Raw genomic sequence first — 22365 nt, forward strand, 5'->3', positions numbered from 1 at the left:
TCTTAAAAAAAAAAAAAAGTGTATATATATATATATATATATATAGTGGTACAGACAGGTCAGCTCCCAGCCTGCAGTACGGACAAGTCAGTGATCAAGGTTACTAGCAGTGTAAGGTCTACACGGACACAGTAACCATTTGGCTGAGCATTTCCTTGTTCTCATTAGTATTTGATACTGATATATCATTTAAATTTTAAAGCGCGAAATCAAGAGTTTTTAGAACTATTGAAATGTCAGCATTTGGCTTTAGTTTTGTTCCCATTTATTTAGCGTAAGGCTAAACTTTTAGAATAAACTGCTGAGAAGAAGGAAAATTTTTTAGTAGAAAACTGAAAATAAAAGGAATCATGAATTTTAGCAATGTATGGTGGCTTACACCTGTAATCCCAGCACTTTGGGAGGCTAAGGTGGGACTACTGCTTGAGCCTAGGAGTTCAAGACCAGCCTGGGCAACATAGGGAGACCTCATCTTAGCCACATGTGGTGGCGCATGCCTGTAATCCCAGGTACTTGTGAGAAAGAGGTGAGAGGATCACTTGAGCCAGGAGTTCAAGGCTCCAGTGAGCCGTGATCACACCACCATACTTCACCCTGAGTGACAAAGTGAGACCCTGTATCAATTTAAAAAAAAGGGGAATCGTGAATTTCATTGGAGCAATAAAAAGAGCTCTCTGCAATATAAAGTTAGCGACATCCCATTGATTTATGGCCGTAATACCTAAGTACCTAGGCCCAACAAGGTAACTCCATCAAAACACCTTTCTCTTTAATGAAAAGTACGGTTATTCCTCAGTCAGACAGTAACTTCAACTTCAAACCAAAACTAAATGAAATTCGAAGCATTTTGTACTAATGGAAGCTTGATGCAGATCTAAACAGTTTCTTATTCATGACATAGGATAAAATTTCATTTGTGAGATCTTTTGATTCATTGTTATAAGTCCTGATAAAATTTAATACAGGTATTTCTCTTAGTTATTTTTTGGTATTGCTTGGGTTTTTTGTTGTTAAGGGGTGGTTGAAGAAGTGACATATTCTTGTATGAGAGCGTAGTAACTAATGTTAAATTGTAAAGTGTAAGGCTACCCTATATAATGATTTAAAAATATAAATCATGTCTGTTTTCTAAATTTTAAAGCAATTAGAGAAACTATATTTTTCTTAGTTACAGGAGACTTTAAGTAAAGACTGACAGGCAAATAGGGTAATATTTTATTCAAAATTATCTTGGCATTTTTGTCATTTATCAAAATAAATTTGAAATCATTTTAATCTTCCATTTGGACAGTATTTAATTTTAGTAATGGGGTTTGTAATACGGTAGAAATTATGTGTCTATGTTTCAACTGAATAGAAAGATTTTACTTTTAACCACTTTTTTGCTTTCTGCAAGTAATTTTTTCCTAAATGGGCAATTTTTTAAATTTTTATTTTTATTAAGACGACATTATAGTGCTTTTTTAAGGGTTTTGGTAACATTTTAAAATATAAAATTGTTCAAAATGGCAACTTTTTTAAAATTTGAAAGCCATAGAGGTTATATACATTTATGGAAATATGTAAAAGGAACTGTAACAAATGTAATACTACCAAGTTTCTAGTAAAACCTCTCTTCAGATAAATCAAAATCTTGGAGTAGACAGTATGTAAAGATCCTTTAAGCAATCTGTGTATTAATAGTGATTAATTTAAATCATTAGTATTCAGTGAATGGTACAAATTATTAGAATACGATTCAAAATCAAGAGGAATTCATGCTGTTTTCCAGTTTGTCCCTCAATTCACAAGACCTCTCTTATTCATCAACTAATTAGATTTAACATTTTTCCATTGTGAATGCTAAAGCCATCGGCCAAATTAAATGAAAACAAGTCCCTTGTTGGGTGCTTCCAGAAAAGTAAGGCCATACATAGATTGTGAAGATTGAGTATGCAGGATGGTGTCATTTAATGGCATGGGCCTTTTATTCTGAAATGGAGCTCTTCATAATCATTGAAACGTGGAGGGTAGCAGGCCTTGGGGTTTGCCTTGCCCTGCTACTCCCCTAACAGCGGCAGCCTGTCAGCTGTATGCTAACGAGGTGAACAATTAAACCGAGTCCTATCTGGCTGGCCCCACAGGCTCTAGGCTCAGACAAAGAACTGTTTATACACCTGTTGTATGTGTAGACAGAGCCATTTGAATGTGGAGCTGCGGATTAAAGGGAAGACATGGGAGCCCAGGAGAGCAAGGGTTAAAGAGAACTATAAGAACTGTGAAAGTCAAATTCTCCAGAAAATATATGAGGGCCATTTGCAAGGAGAATCAAGTTACAAAGAAAAAGTTCCTGCTAACTTCATTGACATGAAAAACTCCAGACTTCAAGCCTTCGTCTAGTCTGAGGCCATTTTTTTAAAGGCTTATATTTTTGCTATGTGTGCCAGTTAAATTTTTTCTTTTGTAAGCTAATTATGTTTAAGTTCGTGTGAGAAAATACTTAGTTTGTATTGTTCTATAGTGTAAAAATATTTCCTGGTGTTTCTGTTGCAAAACAAATCTAGCACCCATTCTGATTTTCCTTAAGGGAAAAGTAAAATTTCTAAGATTTATTATTTAGGTAATGATCAGACACTTTTTAATAGTTGAGCTTTAAAAAAATCAAATAATTATTTATACTGATGAAGTAAAAGGAAATCAGAATTCAGCAGATGAATCATCACTTAGATAAGTGAAAATTCAATTTGTTACTGTTCAGTAGTATTGTCTTACATAGCTATAAAATGTTTCACATGTATAACATACACTAAGTATACATATGTTTAAAATTTAAATTTTAGAAGGCTGTTTTTTAAATTACTTGGTGTGATAGTTCAAAATGTTATGTAAAACAGAATTAGTATATATTGCCAGGGGTCATAGAAGTTTTAAGTCCACATTATTATAAATACAAATACACCTCAGCTTTTACTTTAACTTACAATTATTTCCCCAGCCCGTCAAAATTCTCCTAGATTTATTTAATCTTTAGAGTAGGCCTAATCTTCCAAGGTTCCAAAGAATTTGCAGCCGTATATTATGTTTGCCCATATCTATTTTTATAAAATGGGATTTTGAACTTCCTTTCCTCTTAGATCACTGAGTACTTCATAGTAAGAAAGCACCCTCATTCGTTAAGAATAAACAAGACCAGGATACCCTTGAAACAGAATTTCATGAAACATTTTAAAAATAATTTGTTCTCTTGAATACAATTTTCACAGTCCATTTCTTTACTGATTGTTAGGTTGAGTACTTCAGATTCTTCTCAAGTTTTTTTAGGGGAACAACCAAATACTAAAACTTTCTGAAAGTGGGAAGTAGGATGGAAGTCTGCCATAGTTTCTGTGGTCCCTTCCCAGCTTTAAGGTTTTGTGATTCTAATACATCGTGAAATTGTGTGGTTTAGAGAAAGGGTGTAGTGGAGGCATGATTATTACCCAAGGGAGTAGTGACACAAATAATGCTCAGCAATGACCAATCCTAAAATCATTTTAAAAGTAACTATTAAATTAAATTTTAAAATCCACTAAATGGCTATGTTTCTTAAAAATAAAGATGAGAATAAGTGTAAAAGACAAACATTTCATGGAAAGTGTGGTGGAAGAACGAATCTATTCTAATTAGATCTACTACCAAATGACCTGCATTGCCTAAAATTTTGCTTTGGTTCCTTTTGTTTAGTTCACAGAAAAACCAAAGGATAAACTTGCATAGGGGTATTTATTCCTCTTAGGGTAAAATCATGCAAAGTCATGGAAGATAAAAGCTATATTAATTACTCAAGAGGGATTCAAAGCTTGGCAGTTTACTAGGATTGAAGGATTTATTGAAAAACAGTGGTTCTCATGTATAACTCCAGCCAATAAACCTATTTAATTAAAAGCTTAATCTTCTAGTTGACACGTCTGCTACTATTCTAATAAAAACTTCATCCGTAACAAGTTTTTTTATGTAAGTTAATACTGCAATAGCTGACTGTTTGATGGTGTTTGCATTGCTTGGAATGTAGCAGTATTTTGTTAAATGCCAGTTCATGCATACTTTAATGTATTTAGGTATTATATGAAATAGATTTTCAGATTGATTTATAATACGTAGTGCGTTGTGGCTTATAGAATGCTTTGTCAGCTCATTTGCTTCTCACAAACACCCTCTGTGGGATTTAAAATTTACAAATTAGAAGTTTCATTTTTTAAAAAAGGTATGTTTTGGTTTGATTTAAAAGCAGTACTGCTATGAAGTATTAATATTTTGAAATTCTCCCCAAAAACCAGAATAATGGCATCCAGAAAAAGTTGCTGAAATCAGATGAGTGACACTGTTTTCTCTATTAAACCTAGTAAAATAATTTGGACAGTTATTGCCTCTGAACTATCTTAATCTTTTTTTATTTTTGGGTTTTCCTTAACTTTAGGTTGGAACTCATCGGGAAGACTCTGTCAGTCTCAATGGCAATCATTCAGTCCTGTCTAGTACAGTCACTACTTCAAGCACAGACCTGAACCATAAAACACAAGAAAATTATAGAGGTAACTATATTGTTGGTTTTCAGAAATAATGCAGACAGAGATATCATTTGGAACACTGTCACCTTTCTCACAGCTGGATTGACATCTGTGAATCAAAAGTCATTGAGGTGAGGGAATTCCAAATAGCGTGGAGAGCAGATATTTAGGGTTCCAACTGGCCCACCTAGGTTGACAATTACAGATACTTATTGATGAATAGAGCCACGTACAGACCATTGTTCAGTATTTACCAGTTATCTTTTACCTCTTCCTGTTCTGTCATGTCCCTCTTCCTCAGACATTTTCCCTCATGAGTGTATCTTCATGGTCTTTAGAGGCATTGACAGAGATATTTCTGATTATACTGAGAGCTCCGAATGATGGAAGCTGTTGTTTTAGAGATTATCATTTGATTGAAGAGACATGCAATTTTGATAAAAAGCAAACTTGATCACTGTTCCAATAGAGCTTACAAGTAAGTGTGAAGATAGAGCACTTGAAAGTGCAAATAAGATCACCAAAATAAAGTTCTCCCAGTTACATTTAACCATGATGCCTGTTTTACTGTTTATCCAGGAAGATGTTAAGCTTATGTCCTTTACCTCTGCAACATCTTAGAAGTTAGTTTCTAAAATACATAGTTTCTCATCCTTGTTCATTTGTTAAATAGTGCCTGAAAGTGAGCATTAAATTGGTCATGGGGGTCAGACTTGTTCTTCTAAATACAAATGCTGTTAAAAAGCACAAGGATGTGGATATATTCTTTTCAGCTCTAAATAGTATACTTTCCTACATCTTCAAACCTCCATCATAACCCTGTAACTGCTAAGGATATTCACCAGCTAGAAAGCTTTTTATTGTCTTAGCTGTAATTCATATATGAGTCTCGTCTTTTATTTTATCTTTCCTTTGCCTCTTTGTTAGGTGGCTTGCAAAGTCAGTCTGGAACTGTTGTTACAACAGAAATCAAGACTGAAAACAAAGAAAAGGATGAAAACCTTCATGAACCTCCTTCATCAGATGACATGAAGTCAGATGATGAATCCTCCCAAAAAGATATCAAGGTTTCATCTAGAGGCAGAACAAGGTATTTGTTAGCATCCAGGTTTTAAATTTTATTCATTTTCCATAGGTAAACATACTTGAGAAGCTGGGTGTCATGCATTTATTAACTGTCAGCTATGTTCTAGATATTGTGTTAGGATTTTTGTGTATGTTGTCTCATTTAATCACCACATCATCTCTATAAAAGAGAAGTATATGAAGGTTTGATTTCAAAATTATGTTTTCCTTCATACTATACCATTTGAGGGACTATATATAAAATATAATTATATCTCTTCACTCAAGTTGCTTAGTCTGTTAGATAAGTAGAAGGTAAAATAGCTAAAAGAAGTTAAATCATGTGGTACGGACATTTAGATAGATTTGATCAATAAATATTTGAATATGGTCAGGTGTCACTTAACAATGGTATATATTCTAAGAAATGCATTGCTAGGCAATTTCATCATTGTGCAAACATACAGTATACTTTCACAAACCTAGCCTGTTGTTCCTAGGCTGTATACCTGTATACCATGTTACTGAACTGAGTGCTGTAGGCAATTGTAACACAATGGTAAGAATTTGTGTATCTAAACACCTAAAAGGCACAGTAAAAATAAAAGATAAAAAATGGTACCCGTATAGGCCACTTATCATGAATAGAGCTTGCAGGACTCGAAATTGCTCTGGGTGATTCAATGAGCAGGTGGTGAGTGAATGTGAAGGCCTAGGACATTTCTGTACACTATTGTAGACTTTACAGACACTGTACATTTAGGCTATATTTCATTTATTAAAAAATATTTTTCTTCAATAGTAAATTAACCTTAGCTTACTGTATGTCATTTACTTTATAAACTTAAATTATTTTTAACTTTCTGACTCTTGTAATAATAGCTTAAAACACAAACACATTATATAGCTATACAAAAATATATTTTCTTTAAGTTCTTTTGTAAGCTTTTTTTTTTTTTTTTTTTTTTTGAGGTGGAGTCTTACTCTCTCGCCCAGGCTGGAATGCAGTGGCATCATCTCGGCTCACTGCAACCTCCGCCTCCCAGGTTCAAGTGATTCTCCTGCCTCAGCCTCCCAAGTAGCTGGGATTACAGGCACCCCCCACCACTCCAGGCTAATTTTTGTAGTTTTAGTGGAGACGGGGTTTCACCATGTTGGCCAGGCAGGTCTGGAACTCCTGACCTCAAGTGATCTGCCCACCTCATCCTCCCAAAATGCTGGGATTACAGGCATGAGCCACCGCACCCGGCCTTTGTAAGCTTTTTCCTATTTTTAAAATTTTGTGGTTTTTTGTTTGTTTGTTTACTTTTCAAACTTTTTTGTTAAAAACTAAGACACAAACACACATGTTAGCCTAGGCCTACACAAGGTCAAGATCATTAATATCACTGTCTTCCACCTCCACATCTTGTCCCACTGAATGTCTTCACAGGCAGTAACATGCAGGAAGCTGTCTCTCCTAAGGTAACAAAGCCTTCTTCTGGAATACCTCCTAAAGGACCTGCCTTGAGGTCTTGTCGCCCAGGCTGGGGTGCAGTGGCACAATCTTGGCTCATTGCAACCTCTGCCTCCCGGGTTCAAGCAGTTCTCTTGCCTCAGCCTCCAGAGTAGCTGGGACTACAGGTGCCTGCCACCATGCCCGGCGAATTTTTGTATTGTTAGTAGAGATGGGATTTCGCCATGTTGGCCAGGCTGGTCTCGAACTCCTGACCTCCAGTGATCTGCCCACCTCGGCCTTCCAAAGTGCTGGGATTACAAGCGTGAGCCACCACACCCGGCCAACTTTTTTTTTTAAGTTAGAAGTATACTCTAATGATAAATAGTATAGTATAGTATAGTATAGTATAGTATAGTATAGTATAGTATAGTATAGTATAGTATAGTATAAATACATAAACCAATAACATAATTAGTTATTATTATTATCAAGTACAGCAGGTCCTCAAAGAACATCATTTTGTGAAATGATGAGAAAAAAAATTGATTCCTAGCTAGAGCCTCTTTGTTTGTGGAGTTTGCACATTCTTCCCATGTCTCCTCATGTGGGTTTTCTCTAAGTACTCCGGTTTCTTCCTTCACCCCAAAAATGTGCGTATTAGGTTGAGTAATGTGTCTGAATTGTCCCAGTATGAGAGAGTGTGGGTGTATGTGTGAGTGTGCCCTGCAATGAAATGGCATCCCGTCCAGGATTGTTTCTACCTTGCTCCCTGAGCTGCTGGGATAGGCTGCAGCCTCCCCCGACCCTGAACTGGAATAATTGGGTAAATAATAATCTTACTTATTTTTATGAGTCTTTCTTAAATGTATGCATAGTTCACATTTATTTCATTGTTTAATATTAGAAGTGTATTTTGGTTTTTATTTAGAAGTTTGATGATATTTTGTCACCAGAAATGTACTGTAGGGACTTAACTCTTATTTATATCAATTAACCTATGATAAAACTGGTTTTATTATGTGTCATTTTCCTTAAAGTTGCAGTTTCCAAGAACTGATCAATGACATTGAGGACTTACTGTAGTGTGTACTGTACTTAATTGCATGCTTTTATACAACTGGCAGCACAGTAGGTTTGTTTATAACAAACAAAGAGTTAACGTGACTAATGTGTTGTGCTGCAGCCTTACCACAGCTACATTACTATATAATAGACATTTTTTAGCTCCAGTATAATAAGACCACTGTCATGTATGTAGTCCCTCATTGACTGAAATGTTATGGGCTCATAACTGTATATTAATATAAGGGCTAAATATATGGTAAGACTCTGATTTAAACAAGCAAATTATGGCCCATGGGCCTACCCAGCTCACTGCCTATTTTTGTTTTTGTTTTTATTATTTATTTATTTATTTATTTATTTATTTATTTATTTATTTAAAGACAGGGTCTCGCTGTCACCCAGGCTGGAATGCCATGGGGTGATCTTGGCTCACTGCAGCCTCAGCCTCCCAAGTAGCTGGGATTACAGGCAGATGCCACCATGCCTGGCTAATTTTTGTATTTTTAATAGAGACAAGGTTTCACCATGTTTTCCAGGCTGGTTTTAAACTCCTGGCCTCAAGTGATCTGCTCACCTCATCCTCCCAAAGTGCTGGGATTACAGGCGTGAGCCACTGCGCCTGGCTGCTGCCTATTTTTATGTTTTATTAGAACATCACCATGCCACATTCATTTATCCATTGTCTGTGGTTGTTTTCATACTGCATTGCCAGACTAGAATAGTTGCCACAGAGACTATATGGCCCATCAGAGCTGAAAATATTTACCATCTGGTCCTTCAGAAAAAATGTTTCTTTTTAACAAACAATTAAATAGTAATTTGAGAAAAGTATGAAAAAGGAAATATTCTAGGCAGAATGATGTTGTCGTGGAGTTTTCTAGAAAATGGACTTGACTTTGCTTTGAAGTATGAATATAGACACATAGTACATTAGTTTCAAGTGATTTCTGGATTTTTCCTTCAAATTTTTCTTCCAGTTCTACATTAAAATTAGATGAGTTAGGCCAGGCACAGTGGCTCATGCCTGTAATCCCAGCACTTTGGGTGGCTAAGGCAGGAGGATCTCTTGAGGCCAGAAGTTCAAGACCAGCCTGGGCTACATAGCTAGATTCTGTCTCTACAAAAAATTAGCGGGGCATGGTGGCAAACACCCGTAGTCCCAGCTACTTGGGAGGGTAAGGCAGGAAGATTGCTTGAGTTCAGAAGTTTGAGGCTATAGTGAGCCATGATCATGCCACTGCATTCTAGCCTGGCTAACAGAGAGATGCTGTCTCTAAAAAAAGACTTTTTTCTAATGAAAATTTAAAAGTTAGATCATTTAGTATATTTGTGGTACACCCTATTTCTTGGCATACATATTCATTTATCAATGATATGTGTATATATCTTATACAGATTTAAAACATTGTTCTTTGTGTTGAATTATGGTGCAATGAGGATGGTAGATAAAACTAAAAGAAGCAGAATGTTCCTTTCTGTCATTCACAACTTAAAAGGTGTCCTTTTGCTCTTTTGACATTCTCACTGTTTTCAACACCTAAACATTTATCTTGGGAAAAAGGAAATCTTAAGATCTTAATATTATTACTTTAATATGTATTGTACTCAACTATCAGGGGCATAAGGAAGGAAAAAACTGTGTCAAGGAATTCAGAGACCACTCTTTGGAGGCATCTTAACTCTTACATAGTTTTTATTCAAATAGAATTTTAAGGGAAACAATTTACATCTTTCCTCCATATTCATCTTCTTATAGATCAGGAATCAGCAAACTTTCTCTGTAAAGTCCCAAATAGTGACTATTATTAGGCTTTACTGGACATACAGTCTCTGTCACAGCTACTTACCACTGCCATTAGAGGACAAAAGTAGCCAAAGTCAAATGGGTATCGCTGTTCCAATAAAATTTTACTTACAAAAAAGGATGACCAGCTCATAGATCAGTTTGCTGACCCATATTATAGGTCATCAGAAATTAGGAGGCAGTGTAATAGGTTAGTAATAGTCCATAATAATGAATAGGTTAATAACATGACCTTTGGACAAAATAAGGGTTTGAATTGTGGTTCCATTACATACTTGCCGAGTGACTTTGGGCAAGTCTTTGAGCTCAGTTTCTTCTTCTCTAAAAGGAGACTTTCTGTTACAGGATTCTTGTAGGAATAACCTGAAAATGATGCATGTAAAACCCTTTGCACACGGTCTAGCACACAGTAAGCACTCAATAAAGATACTATATCTACTGTTACAGTGGTAGTGTTATGGTGGTAATTTTAAGTGTATGGTGTAGGCTTGCTTCCATGGAGCACTGAGCTGACATCTCATCATCATACTGCCACCAGTTAGCTCTGTGATCCTAGGTCTTGAAGTGGTTCTCAACCCTGCTGCCCAGACCCTGGAACATTTTAGAAATACAGGTGCCTGGGCCCCAACCCAAACTCACTAAATTAGTGAGTCTAGCATCTCTGGTAGTGAGACCTGGAAAGCTGTATTTTTCAAGTGCTCTTGGAGATTCTAATGAGTGGCTATCTGTGGACACCACTGGGCTCGATGATCTTTAAAGGACTTTTTGAAGTCAAAGAACCAGTGATTTTCTTTTGTCAAAAGAATGCATTTATATGATTCTTAATGATTAGCAGGTTAAATATTGCATACTTTTTAGGGACAGAGTCTCTGTTTGTCACCCAGGCTGGAGTGCAGTGGACAATAACCTCAAGCTGCTGGACTCAGGCAATTCTCCCATGCCCGCCTCAGCTTCCCAAACCACTTAGGTTACAAGCACGAGCCACCATGCCTGGCCTGTGTACTTGTTCTTTTATTAGAATACTCAGGGTATTAAAGAAGAGGTAAAAATGTCTAATATTTTTGTACATTATTTCAAGGTTCTGAGAAGCTGTGGTCAGTAATTTATATCTGAATCATAAATAGAACTTTCTATAAGCTGTTACAGAGCATCTCCCTCATATGTTTTTTTTTCTGATTATGTAGTCTATTTTCATTACAGAAATGTAGAAAATACAGAAAAGTATGCACAAAAATCACAAGAAACACCACTATTCAGAATTAACCACTGTTTACTTCTTTTTTTTTTTTCCTGAGAAGTTCTAATTTGATTTCACTGTGGTCTGAGAGACGTTTTGTTGTGATTTGTGTTATTTTACATTTGCTGAGGAGTGTTTTGCTTCCAATTATGTGGTCAATTTTAGAATAATAAGTGCAGTGTGGTGCTGAGAAGAGTGTATATTCTGTTGATTTGGGGTGGAGAGTTCTGTAGATGACTGTTAAGTCCGCTTGGTCCAGAGCTGAGTTCAAGTCCTGGATATCCTTGTTAATTTTCTGTCTCGTTGATCTGTCTAATATTGACAGTGGGGTGTTAAAGTCTCCCATTATTATTGTATGGGAGTCTAAGTCTTTTTGTAGGTCTGTAAGAACTTGCTTTATGAATCTGGGTGCTCGTGTATTGGGTGTGTATATATTTGGGATAGTTAGGTCTTCTTGTTGCATTGATCCCTTTACCATTATGTAATGGCCTTCTTTGTCTCTTTTGATCTTTGTTGGTTGAAAGTCTGTTTTATCAGAGACCAGGATTGCAACCGCACAACCCCTGCTTTTTTTTTTTTTTTTTTTTTTTTTTTTTTTGGCTTTCCATTTGTTTGGTAGATCTTCCTCCATCCCTTTATTTTGAGCCTATGTGTATCTTTGCGCATGAAGTGGGTCTCCTGAATACAGCACACTGATGGGTCTTCACTCTTTATCCAATTTGTCAGTCTCTGTCTTTTAATTGGGGCACTTAGCTCATTTACATTTAAGGTTAATATTGTTATGTGTGAAATTGATCCTGTCATTATGATGCTACTGGTTATTTCACCCATTAATTGATGCAGTTTCTTCATAGCATCGATGGTCTTTACAATTTGGCATGTTTTTGCAGTGGCTGGTACCGGTTGTTGCTTACCATGTTTAGCGCTTCCTTCATGAGCTCTTGTAAGGCAGGCCTAGTGGTGACGAAATCTCTCAGCATTTGCTTGTCTGTAAAGGATTTTATTTCTCCTTCATTTATGAAACTTAGTTTGGCTGGATATGAAATTCTGGGTTGAAAATTCTTTTCTTTAAGAATGTTGAAATATTGGCCCCGACTCTCTTCTGGCTTGTAGGGTTTCTGCAGAGAGATCCACTGTTAGTCTGATGGGCTCCCCTTTGTGGGTAATCCAACCTTTATTTCTGGCAGCCCTTAACATTTTTTCCTTCATTTCAACCTTGGTGAATCTGACAGTTATGTGTCTTGGAGTTGCTCATCTTGAGGAGTATCTTTGTGGTGTTCTCTGTATTTCCTGAATTTGAATGTTGACCTGCCTTGCTAGGTTGGGGAAGTTCTCCTGGATAATATCCTGAAGAGTGTTTTCTAACTTGGTTCCATTCTCCCCATCACTTTCAGGTACACCAATCAAATGTAGATTTGGTCTTTTAATGTAGTCCCATATTTCTTGGAGGCTTTGTTCATTTGTTTTCACTCTTTTTTCTCTAAGCTTGTCTTCTCGCATTATTTCATTAATTTGATCTTCAATCACTGATATCCTTTCCTCTGCTTGATCGCATCAGCTATTGAAGCTTGTGTATGCTTCACGAAGTTGTCGTATTGTGGTTTTCAGCTCCATCAGGTCATTTAAGGTCTTCTCTATGCTGGATATTCTATTTAGCCATTCGTCTAACCTTTTTCCAAGGTTTTTTACTTCCTCGCAGTGGGTTAGAACATGCTTCTTTAGCTTGGAGAACAGCTTTCTTATTACCGACCTCCTGAAGCCTACTTCTGTCAACTCATCAAACTCATTCTCCATCCAGTTTTGTTCCCTTGTTGATGAGGAGTTGTGTTCCTTTGGAGGAGAAGAGGCGTTCTGGCTTTTGGTATTTTCAGCCTTTCTGCTCTGGTTTCTCCCCAGCTTTGTGGTTTTATCTACCTTTGGTCTTTGATGTTGGTGACCTACGAATGGGATTTTGGTGTGGATGTCCTTTTTGTTGATGTTGATGCTATTCCTTTCTGTCTGTTAGTTTTCCTTCTAACAGACCGGCCCCTCAGCTGCACATCTGTTGGAGTTTGCTGGAGGTCCACTCCAGACCCTCTTTGCCTGGGTATCACCAGCGGAGGCTGCAGAACAGCAAATATTGCTGCCTGATCCTTCCTCTGGAAGCTTCGTCCCAGAGGGGCACCCACCTGTATGAGGTGTCTGTTGGCCTCTACTGGGAGGTGTCTCCCAGTCAGGCTACACGGGGGTCAGGGACCCACTTGAGGAGGCAGTCTCTCCATTATCAGAGCTCGAATGCCATGCTGGGAGAACCACTGTTCTCTTCAGGGCTGTCAGGCAGGGATATTTAAGTCTGGAGAAACTGTCTGCTGCCTTTTGTTCAGATACGCCCTGCCCTCAGAGGTGGAATCTAGAGAGGCAGTAGGCCTTGCTAGGCTGCGGTGGGCTCCGCCCAGTTCGAGCTTCCCTGCCACTTCGTTCACACAGTGAACATAAAACCACCTACTCAAGCCTCAGTAATGGTGGATGCCCCTCCCCCTGCCAAAGTTAGGCATCCCAGGTCGATCTCAGACTGCTGCGCTAGCAGCAAGCAAGGCTCCGTGGGCCTGGGACCCACCAGGCCAGGCACGGGAGGGAATCTCCTGGTCTGCTGGTTGCGAAGACTGTGGGAAAAGCGCAGTATTTGGGCAGGAGTATACTGCTCCTCCAGGTACAGTCACTCATGGCTTCCCTTGGCTAGGAAAGGGTAATCCCCCAACCCCTTGCACTTCCCACGTGAGGCAATGCCCCACCCTGATTCAGCTCACCCTCCGTGGGCTGCACCCACTGTTCAACCAGTCCCAATTAGATGAACCAGGTACCTCAGTTGGAAATGCAGAAATCACCCATCTTCTTCTTCGATCTCACTGGGAGCTGTAGACCAGAGCTGTTCCTATTTGGCCATCTTGGAAGCAACCCACCTCGGCAATGTATTTTTTTTAAGTATTTTGTTTTTGTTTTGGATCAGCTTTATTGAGGCTTAATACACATGTAATAATAAAATTCACTAATTTTAAATATACAGTCTTTATTATGTATGTTAAAATGTATATATTTTGTCATTTTGACAAGTGTAAAAGTTATTTAACAGCCACCTTATTCATAATGTAGAATCCACCTCAAAAAATGTCCTTATTCCCCTTGGTAGTGAGTCCCTTTCCTCCATCCCGTGGTCCTTGGCAACCATTGATCTGCTTTCTGCTACCATAGTTTTGTGTTTTCTAGAAGTTCATGTAAATGGAATTGTAGAGTATGTATGTGATCTTTCATGACTGGCTTTTTTTACTTAGCATAATCTGCAACTTGATTTTAGATACAACATAATGGGCCATTGTCTGAATGTACTATGATTTATTGAACCCATTTGCTATTATTAAATCCCAATATGTTGCTAATGTAAATAATTCTGTGATCATCTCCCTTTACATAAATTTCTATGTACATCTCTAATTATATCCTTAGGATGAATTTCCAAAGTTGGAATTGCTGATCAAGAGGTAATAAACATTAAGGCTCTGGATTCGTTTTGCCAATTTGCCCTTCAAAAAATTGTGTCATTTCTCCCATGTTTTATAATTATCACCACTGATGATAATTTATCTCTAGAACAAAAAAATAGCCGTTTTCTGGGATACTTCTCTCAATCTATATCTTAAGCTTTCCTTCTTTCTTTTCGCCAGGTAACCGCCAGAGTATATTTAAGAGCATAGGCTAAGCAAATTATACATTCATGTACTAGGGGGGCTTTTAAACTGTAATGTGTATATCAGTCATCTGGGAAACATGTTAAAATGCAGCTTCTAATTCAGTAAGATGGGAGCAGAACCTGAGAGATTCTACTCCAGTGTTTTTAACAAGCTCCCAGTAATGCTGATGCTGCTGATTTGTGGATCACATTTTGTGTAGCAAGGTGCTAAAATATTATGTAGTTGTTGATCTTATATTTATGAAGAGTTTCTGGAGAAATCTTTATGCTATAATGTGCAATGAAAAATGCACTTAAGAGTGTATGTAGTATATTTCAACTGTATGACTGTATATGTGCATTGAAGAAAAATTTGAAAGGAATATACAGTCATGTTAACTGCACCTATTACAACTGTTTACAAGATTTATAGGTGGTTTTCATTTCCATCTTTACGCTTTATAATTGTGCACAATCAGCATATCTTACTTTATAGGAAACCTAATAGACCTTGTTGTTACTTTATTTTCTAGCAGTACTAATGAAGATGAGGATTTGAACCCTGAACAGAAGATAGAAAGGGAGAAGGAGAGGCGGATGGCTAACAATGCCAGAGAACGCTTACGCGTGCGGGATATTAATGAAGCATTCAAAGAGCTTGGCCGAATGTGTCAGCTTCACTTGAAGAGTGAAAAACCCCAAACAAAACTCCTTATTCTTCATCAAGCCGTGGCAGTCATCCTTAGTCTAGAACAGCAAGTCAGAGGTAAGTAGGTTCAGCCGAGATGTATAACTGTTCTGCTTCAGATGGGCAGACATTTCTGTTTACAGTTGCTCTTCTGCTTGGAGAAGTTGTTTGTTATTTCTCCCAGTACTTCTTCTACTGTATCATCAGGGTCGTTTTTCCTGTAATTCTCACTTCTGTCTCACTGTATCACCCAATATCTGTGGGCTGAGTGTTCTCCACCAATAGAGAGTAATTCTGTGAAGCAAAGCAGATAACAAACAGCCTCTGCCTGCTGCTCAGCAATAGTGCTTTGTGTCTCTTTGCTCTGGTTGCTTCTGATCTCTCAACCATTAAATTTCCCTGCCTGGACCTGCCCTCCTCCCTGCTCTTTATGTCTTTCCTACTTCTCTGTATTCATTTTCTTGCCTGCTCTACTTTGGAGTATCTACCGTGCCCTGCTGGTTAATAGGATGCCTTGTTATCATCCCTTCTGCCTTTGCCAGATACCTTTACACCCATGTCAATAAGGTCTCAGGGCTTCTTTGTTGACCCCAGACCAGGAACACCAAGAACTTTTTGGGCTAACATACATCGGCATGCCTCTGTGTCCTTAAGGGCAAAAGAGCTCACCCAGTGCTGACTCAGTTTCATTTTTCAGGAAGTTTGTTGCAGTTTTGAAGAAACTTTGAAACTTCATTTGTTCAACATGTATTTATTGCATACCTCCTCTGTTCCAACCAGCTGTGTCCTAGGCCCTGGGTTATCAAATAATAGAAGCTTCTTATCTTTAAGAGGTTTTACCATCAAGCTTGAGTTTCTCCATATACTTATATATTGTCTTAAAATATCCTAAGCCTTTTTGCAAGGAATTCATAGATGTGGCCCTAGGTTCCAGATCTGACCACTAGTCTCTCTCAGAGCAATTCTTTCGATTTTGTGTGAAGACGGTTCAAAAAAGAATAGGGTGGGCAGATGCTTGAAAACTACAGCCATGGAGCCTCAGCATTAGATTACAGAATGAGTACTCTTTCTTAGGAAAACCAGAGTTAGAGAACTTGAACAAACTTTCAGAAATATATACAGTAGTAGTTAATTCATCCACTTCCCTCCAATATATTTAATGAATAAGAATGAGGGATAGATCATTTTGTGTATAATCAACCTAATGTTAAAAATGGATACTTGCTCCTCTTCTCCCAAGGTCCTTGAAATATCTGTGGAGTATAAATGTTAATGAAACCTAATCTTCAAGTAATTATAGACTCCCTTGTGATATCCATAAGGAGGCAGATTGTTACCCACTCGCCTGTGGCAGAAGCAGTGGTTCCTTGAACTACTGATACCTCCTGTCACTTTACCAATGGTTTTTTTTCTTGAATTGTGTCTGACACCCTTTGTCTCGCTCTGAAGGCAGCAAGGCACCTATGTTCAGTGGTTCAAGTACACTCATCCTCCTCTTCTTCAGCCCAGGATATCTTCTATCCTGACTTCACCCAGCCATTTATTGTTAAAGCCACTGCCTCCATCTCAGCTGTAAAAGTCTTACTGTCTGGTCAACAGGAGTACCAGAATTTATTCTAGTACACAGCACCTTTTCCTCCCATAGTGCATTAGAATCAGAATGCAGTCATTTGTGTTTTTAAAAACTTTTTTTTTAAGCACAGAGATACCTACTTCAGATCTAAGCCATTAAAATGAGAAATACTTCTGTGATGGAAAAACACAAACATAAATAAATAAAACATAAATTCTACCATGCCTAGATGGACCTTATTCATTTGTAACATTGGAATTTCCAGTGGTTCCATGCGGGCACCTAGAACAGAAAATATGAGTCTGAGAGAAGATCTGTCATCTAGGCTTTCTTACTACTGACTTTCTGGTCTGTTATGGGTACTGACTGTTTCATACAGTTCTGTAAAGCTCTGTCTAAGGACTCTTTGACTGATGAGAGTTTGAACAGATTTCAAATACACTGAACTGTAACTTCGTTAGGGATTGCTTTGATATTCAGAAAAGCCTACTTCTCCCCGGCCTTCAGACTGGGCTTGAAGCCTTATCTTAGGACTTTACATAAAAGCCCAGGGATCTTTGTAAGGTAGGGGTGTGTGTGTGTGTGTGTGTGTGTGTGTGTGTGTGTACGTATGTAGAGATGGTCTCACTGTGTTGCCCAGGCTGGTCTTGAAATCCTGGCCTCAAGCGTCTATAGGCCTGAGCCACCATGCCTGGGCTCAGACTCCTTGAAGGACACTCTTATGGCTGTCAGATAGGGTTTAGAACCCTTCATACAGGCCACAATACCTGTGCCTTGTCTTTGGCAACACCTTCAGAGTTTTGTATAGCCACTGTCTTTTCCTCGATTTACCTACAGTTTTGAGTTATTTTGGTGACTTGATCACTTTTGAGAGCCTCTTCATCCTGTACAGAGACCCTCCTTAGCAGTCCCTGATCCAACACTTTCTATAAAAACAGCTTTTGTTTACATGACCTATTTGGGCATCCTCTGCACTCTGGCTCCCCTTCTGATTTGGGATGATGCTGCAAGACTGTATCTGATTGTGACCCAACCTGTCACAATCACTGGATGCTTATTTTTACCAGGAGGCAAGCAGACCCAGGTCTAGCAGTTCATCCCAGAGAAGAGTGGCTTCTCTTCTAAGCCTCAGATTTTGCCAGAGCATTTTTTGTGCCTTGTTGCCCCACCTGTCAAACCCTAAGTCCCCACTGCCAGTTTAAGCTTTTCCATTATCATGACTACAACGTTATTTGTACCTTTGCCATTTTTATTCCCCAGCAGATAAAACAAATGACCTTCAAGTTTGTACTCTCAGCGTTACTCAAGACTCAGTGGTTAAACATTTCCTCCTCTCAAGCTCTTTCACAGGTCAGCTTAGTCAGGTCACTGTTCTTTTGATAATTTAGTGATGAGAGAACTATTAGATTTTCAGTTTCCTGTTCTACAAGTGAGTTTGAACATAAATGGTGTTGGACAGTGGTTTTGAAATCTGGCTGGTCCCAGAATCACCTGAAGCTTTTCTTTCCTCAAACATTTCCAAACCTTACCCCAGGAGATTCTGGTGCAATGAGATGGTTAAATGTGGTAGACTTAGCATATGCAGTGATAATACTGCAATCTTTCCTACATCCCCACTAAAATAAATAAAAATGATATTCATTTTAACCCACAAGGACAGATGAGAGAGGAGACCATAGCAGATGAAATAGCGAAAGCTGCATGTAGGATAGAAAGTCGATGGAATAGTGGTACTTATTTGTTTCTAAGTACTGAAGAATACATGTTTCAAGAGTGGTAAGATCTAATCTTGTGCTGAATACAGTGATTTCTTAAATGCCCCGAAGTTAAAATACATAATCATGAAATTTCAGAGCATTCGGGTAAAAAAAATATTCTAAAGCTTCTGGAGATAAAATATAAATAGCTTATAGATAAAGAAACAAGAATCAAAATATCATCAGCGTTCTGGACAGTAGTACTGGATTCCAGGAGATAGTGGAGCAGCACCTTCAAATTTCTGAGGAAAATAATTTCAACCTAGAATTCTTTTTTTTTTCTTTTTTTTTTCCTTTTTTTTTTTTTTGAGGCCGAGTCTCGCCCTGTCACCCAGGCTGGAGTGTAGTGGTGTGAGCTTGGCTCACTGCAACCTCTGCCTCCTGAGTTCAAGCGATTCTCCTGCCTCTGCCTCCTCCATAGCTGGGATTACAGGCACGCATCACCATGCCCAGTTAATTTTTTGTATTTTTAGTAGAGACAGAGTTTCACCATGTTGAACAGACTGGTCTGAAACTCCTGACCTCAGGTGATCCGCCTACCTCAGCCTCTCAAAGTGCTGAGATCACAGACGTGAGCCACCGCACCTGGCCAGTTTCAACCTAGAATTCTATACCTTGCCAGACAATTAATCAAAAGATGGATATAGAATGAAGATATTCCACATAAGCTGGGCATGGTGTGTGCCTATAGTCCCAGCTACTTGGGATGTTGAGTCAAGAGAATCACTTAATCCCAGGAATTTGAGGCTGAAGCGAGCTGTGATCATGCTACTACACTCCAGCCTGGGTGACAGTGCCAAGTCCACCCTGTCTCTAAATAAAAATTAAGTTGGCAGCCGGGTGCAGTGGCTCACACCTGTAATCCCAGCACTTTGGGAGGCTGAAGCAGGCAGATCATGAGGTCAAGAGATCGAGACCATCCTTGGCAACATGGTGAAACCCCATCTCTACTAAAAATACAAAAATTAGCTGGGTGGGGTGGCGTGCGCAAGTAGTCCCAGCTACTTGGGAGGCTGAGGCAGGAGAATCGCTTGAACCCAGGAGGCAGAGGTTGCAATGAGCCGAGATTGTGCCACTGCACTCCAGCCTGGCGACAGAGTGAGACTCCATCTCAAAAAAAAAAAAAAAAAAAATTAAGTTGGCTGGGCACAGTGGCTTATGCCTGTAATCCCAGCACAGTGGGAGGCCAAGGCAGGAGGATCCCTTGAGCCCAGGAGATGACTTGAGACCAGCCTGAGCAACAGTTAGGCCGCATCTCTAAAAAAAATTTAAAAATTAGCTGGATGTCTTGGCTCATACCTGAAGTACCAGCTACTTGGGAGGCTGAGGTGGGAGGATCACTTGAGCCCTAGAAGATTGAGGCTGCAGTGAGCTATGGTTGTAGCACCACACTCCAGTCTGGGCAGCAGAGTGAGAACCTGTCTCAAAGAAAAAAAAAAAGATATATCAGATATGCAAATCCTTTAAAAATTTACCTTCCATATACATCCTTTTAAAAAATAGAGACAGGGTTTCACTGTATTGCCCAGGGTGGTCTCAAACTCCTAGCACAAACGATCCTCCCACCTCAGCCTCCCAGGTAGCTGGAACTGCAGGCATTAGCCACCACACCTGGCTCGTGTATATTTTTTCAGAAAGCATCTGGAACATATGCTTTAACCAAATAAGTGCATAATCAACAAAGACAAATGTTATAGAATCCAGGAAACAAAGGATTTAACATAGAAAAACAGCAAAAATAAATCCCATGACAAGAGCTACTGGGCCTAGAGAGCAACTAGTCCATTGAAAATTGAATACTATTAGCTGCAGAAGAAAGGTTTCCAAGGAAAGAAAATGGAATTAATTGATGATGTGTTCAAGATTTTAGGAAAATATATTGATAGGCATTTGTTAGATCTCTTGGAGCATTCAGTGGTGGGGTTAGGGAGACGGAATTTGCATTACTAACAAATGAAAAAACAAGTAGCTATTAACTATAGGAAAAATAAACAGTTATATGAGCAAGGGAGCAATCACTGTAAAAAAAAAAATTTTTTTTCTTTTCCAAGTTGAGGTCAGATGGGTAATGTGCTGAGGTCATAACAAGGTTGGAGGGTGGCACATCTCACACACACTCGTGAACACCCAATCATCATGCTCATGAACTACAAAAGGATCAAACCTTTCCTCCCTCTCCCTCTCTCTCCCTCCCTCCCTCCCTCTCCCTCCCTCCCCTCTCTCTCCCTCCCTCCCTCTCTCTCCCTCTCTCTCCCTACCTCTCTCTCCCTCCCTCTCTCTCTCCGTCCCTGTCTCTCCTTTTCTTTTTCTTTCTTTCTCTTTCTCTCTTTCCTCCTTTTTTCTTTGTTTTTCTTTCTTTCTTTTTGTCTTATTCTTTATTTCTGTCTTTGTTTCTTTTTTGTTCTTTCCTCCTGTCTTCCTTCCTTCCTTTTTTTTTTTTCTCCTTTCCTTTCTTTTCTTGTCTTGTATTTTCTTTTCTTTCCTTTCCTTTTCTTTCTTCCTCAGGGTTTTGCTCTGTTGCCTAGGTTGGAGTGCAGTGGCACAATCATGGCTCACTGCAGTCTCAGCCTCCCAGGCTCAAGTGATCCTCCTACCTCAGCCCCCTCAGTAGCTGGGACTACAGGTGGGTACCAGCACACCTGGCTAATTTTTAAATTTTTGTAGAGACAGGGTCTCACTTTGTTGCCCAGGCTACTGTAAAATTCTTAACCTCAGCAGCTATCTCCATATAGTCATAATAACATAAATATTTTCCTAGTCATAATAATGTAAGAAGTGACTAGTGAGTTAGCCAAAAATTTTGCTATAAACATGTTGCAAAGTTGATGTTATAAGAGAGTCAAGTCCTCAACTACATAAGAAGTCAATAGATAGAATTCCCCTAATTGAAATATGGGAAGACATACTTCTCATGCCCTGCAGGTAATGAGAAGTACCAGATCTTTCTGGCTACTTAGCACACATTTGCCGTGGTCTGTGTCACACACCAAGAGGTATGAAAGAGTAGCCTTAGTCTTTTTTGAATCAAAGTTGTGTATTTATTTCACATTTCCTAGAGTCTGCCATAGTATTGTTCTTCCTGCCAGAAGTGTTCTTTGTCTGAATATAGGAACCTGAAAGATCTTGCCTAATTTACTGAGTTTTTGGTGCTGATCCTTCCAAGCATTTCTCATCATGTCTCCTAGATCCTGGTGTGATAGAGTCATAGTTGGCTAAGAGCAATTTTCCATTATAAAGAGAAATGTGAGCCTTTTTTCAGTTGGAAAATTTTCACATCTCACATTCTCCTCTTTAAGTTTTACATGCTAATCCATGCCATCTTCTCAGTCTCTCGGGTCATTATATGAGACTTTAACCTCCACAGTCTCACTTTTTTTTTTTTTTTTTTTTTTGGAGACAGAGTTTTGCTCTTCTTGTCGCCCAGGCTGGAGTGCAGTGGCGCGATTTCGGCTCACTGCAGACTCCGTCTCCCCAGTTCAAGTGATTCTCCTGTCTCAGCCTCCCGAGTA

The 22365-nt window shown here is 38.8% G+C and overlaps 1 protein-coding gene and 1 non-coding gene across 35 annotated transcripts in view; one reads left to right on the forward strand and one right to left on the reverse strand.

Annotated features, from left to right (window-relative positions):
- The window catches only part of TCF12 (transcription factor 12), a 373221-nt gene that overhangs the window by 339569 nt on the left and 11287 nt on the right, over positions 1-22365 (forward strand). For 25 of the 34 annotated variants that reach the window (NM_001322151.2, XM_011521960.4, XM_047432971.1 and 22 more), the window contains 3 exons: positions 4436-4550; positions 5454-5616; positions 15372-15604. In NM_001322151.2, the coding sequence (NP_001309080.1) occupies positions 4436-4550; positions 5454-5616; positions 15372-15604 (511 nt within the window). The remainder of the gene's footprint in view (positions 1-4435; positions 4551-5453; positions 5617-15371; positions 15605-22365) is intronic. The other 9 variants (XM_047432972.1, XM_047432973.1, XM_011521961.4 and 6 more) reach the window with 1 other exon arrangement.
- Positions 20909-20999, reverse strand: SNORD13D (small nucleolar RNA, C/D box 13D). Its single transcript, NR_145748.1, has one exon. It is a non-coding gene; the product is annotated as a small nucleolar RNA, C/D box 13D (small nucleolar RNA).

Source organism: Homo sapiens, chromosome 15 (genome assembly GCF_000001405.40).
Source record: "Homo sapiens chromosome 15, GRCh38.p14 Primary Assembly".
Lineage (NCBI taxonomy): Eukaryota > Metazoa > Chordata > Mammalia > Primates > Hominidae > Homo > Homo sapiens.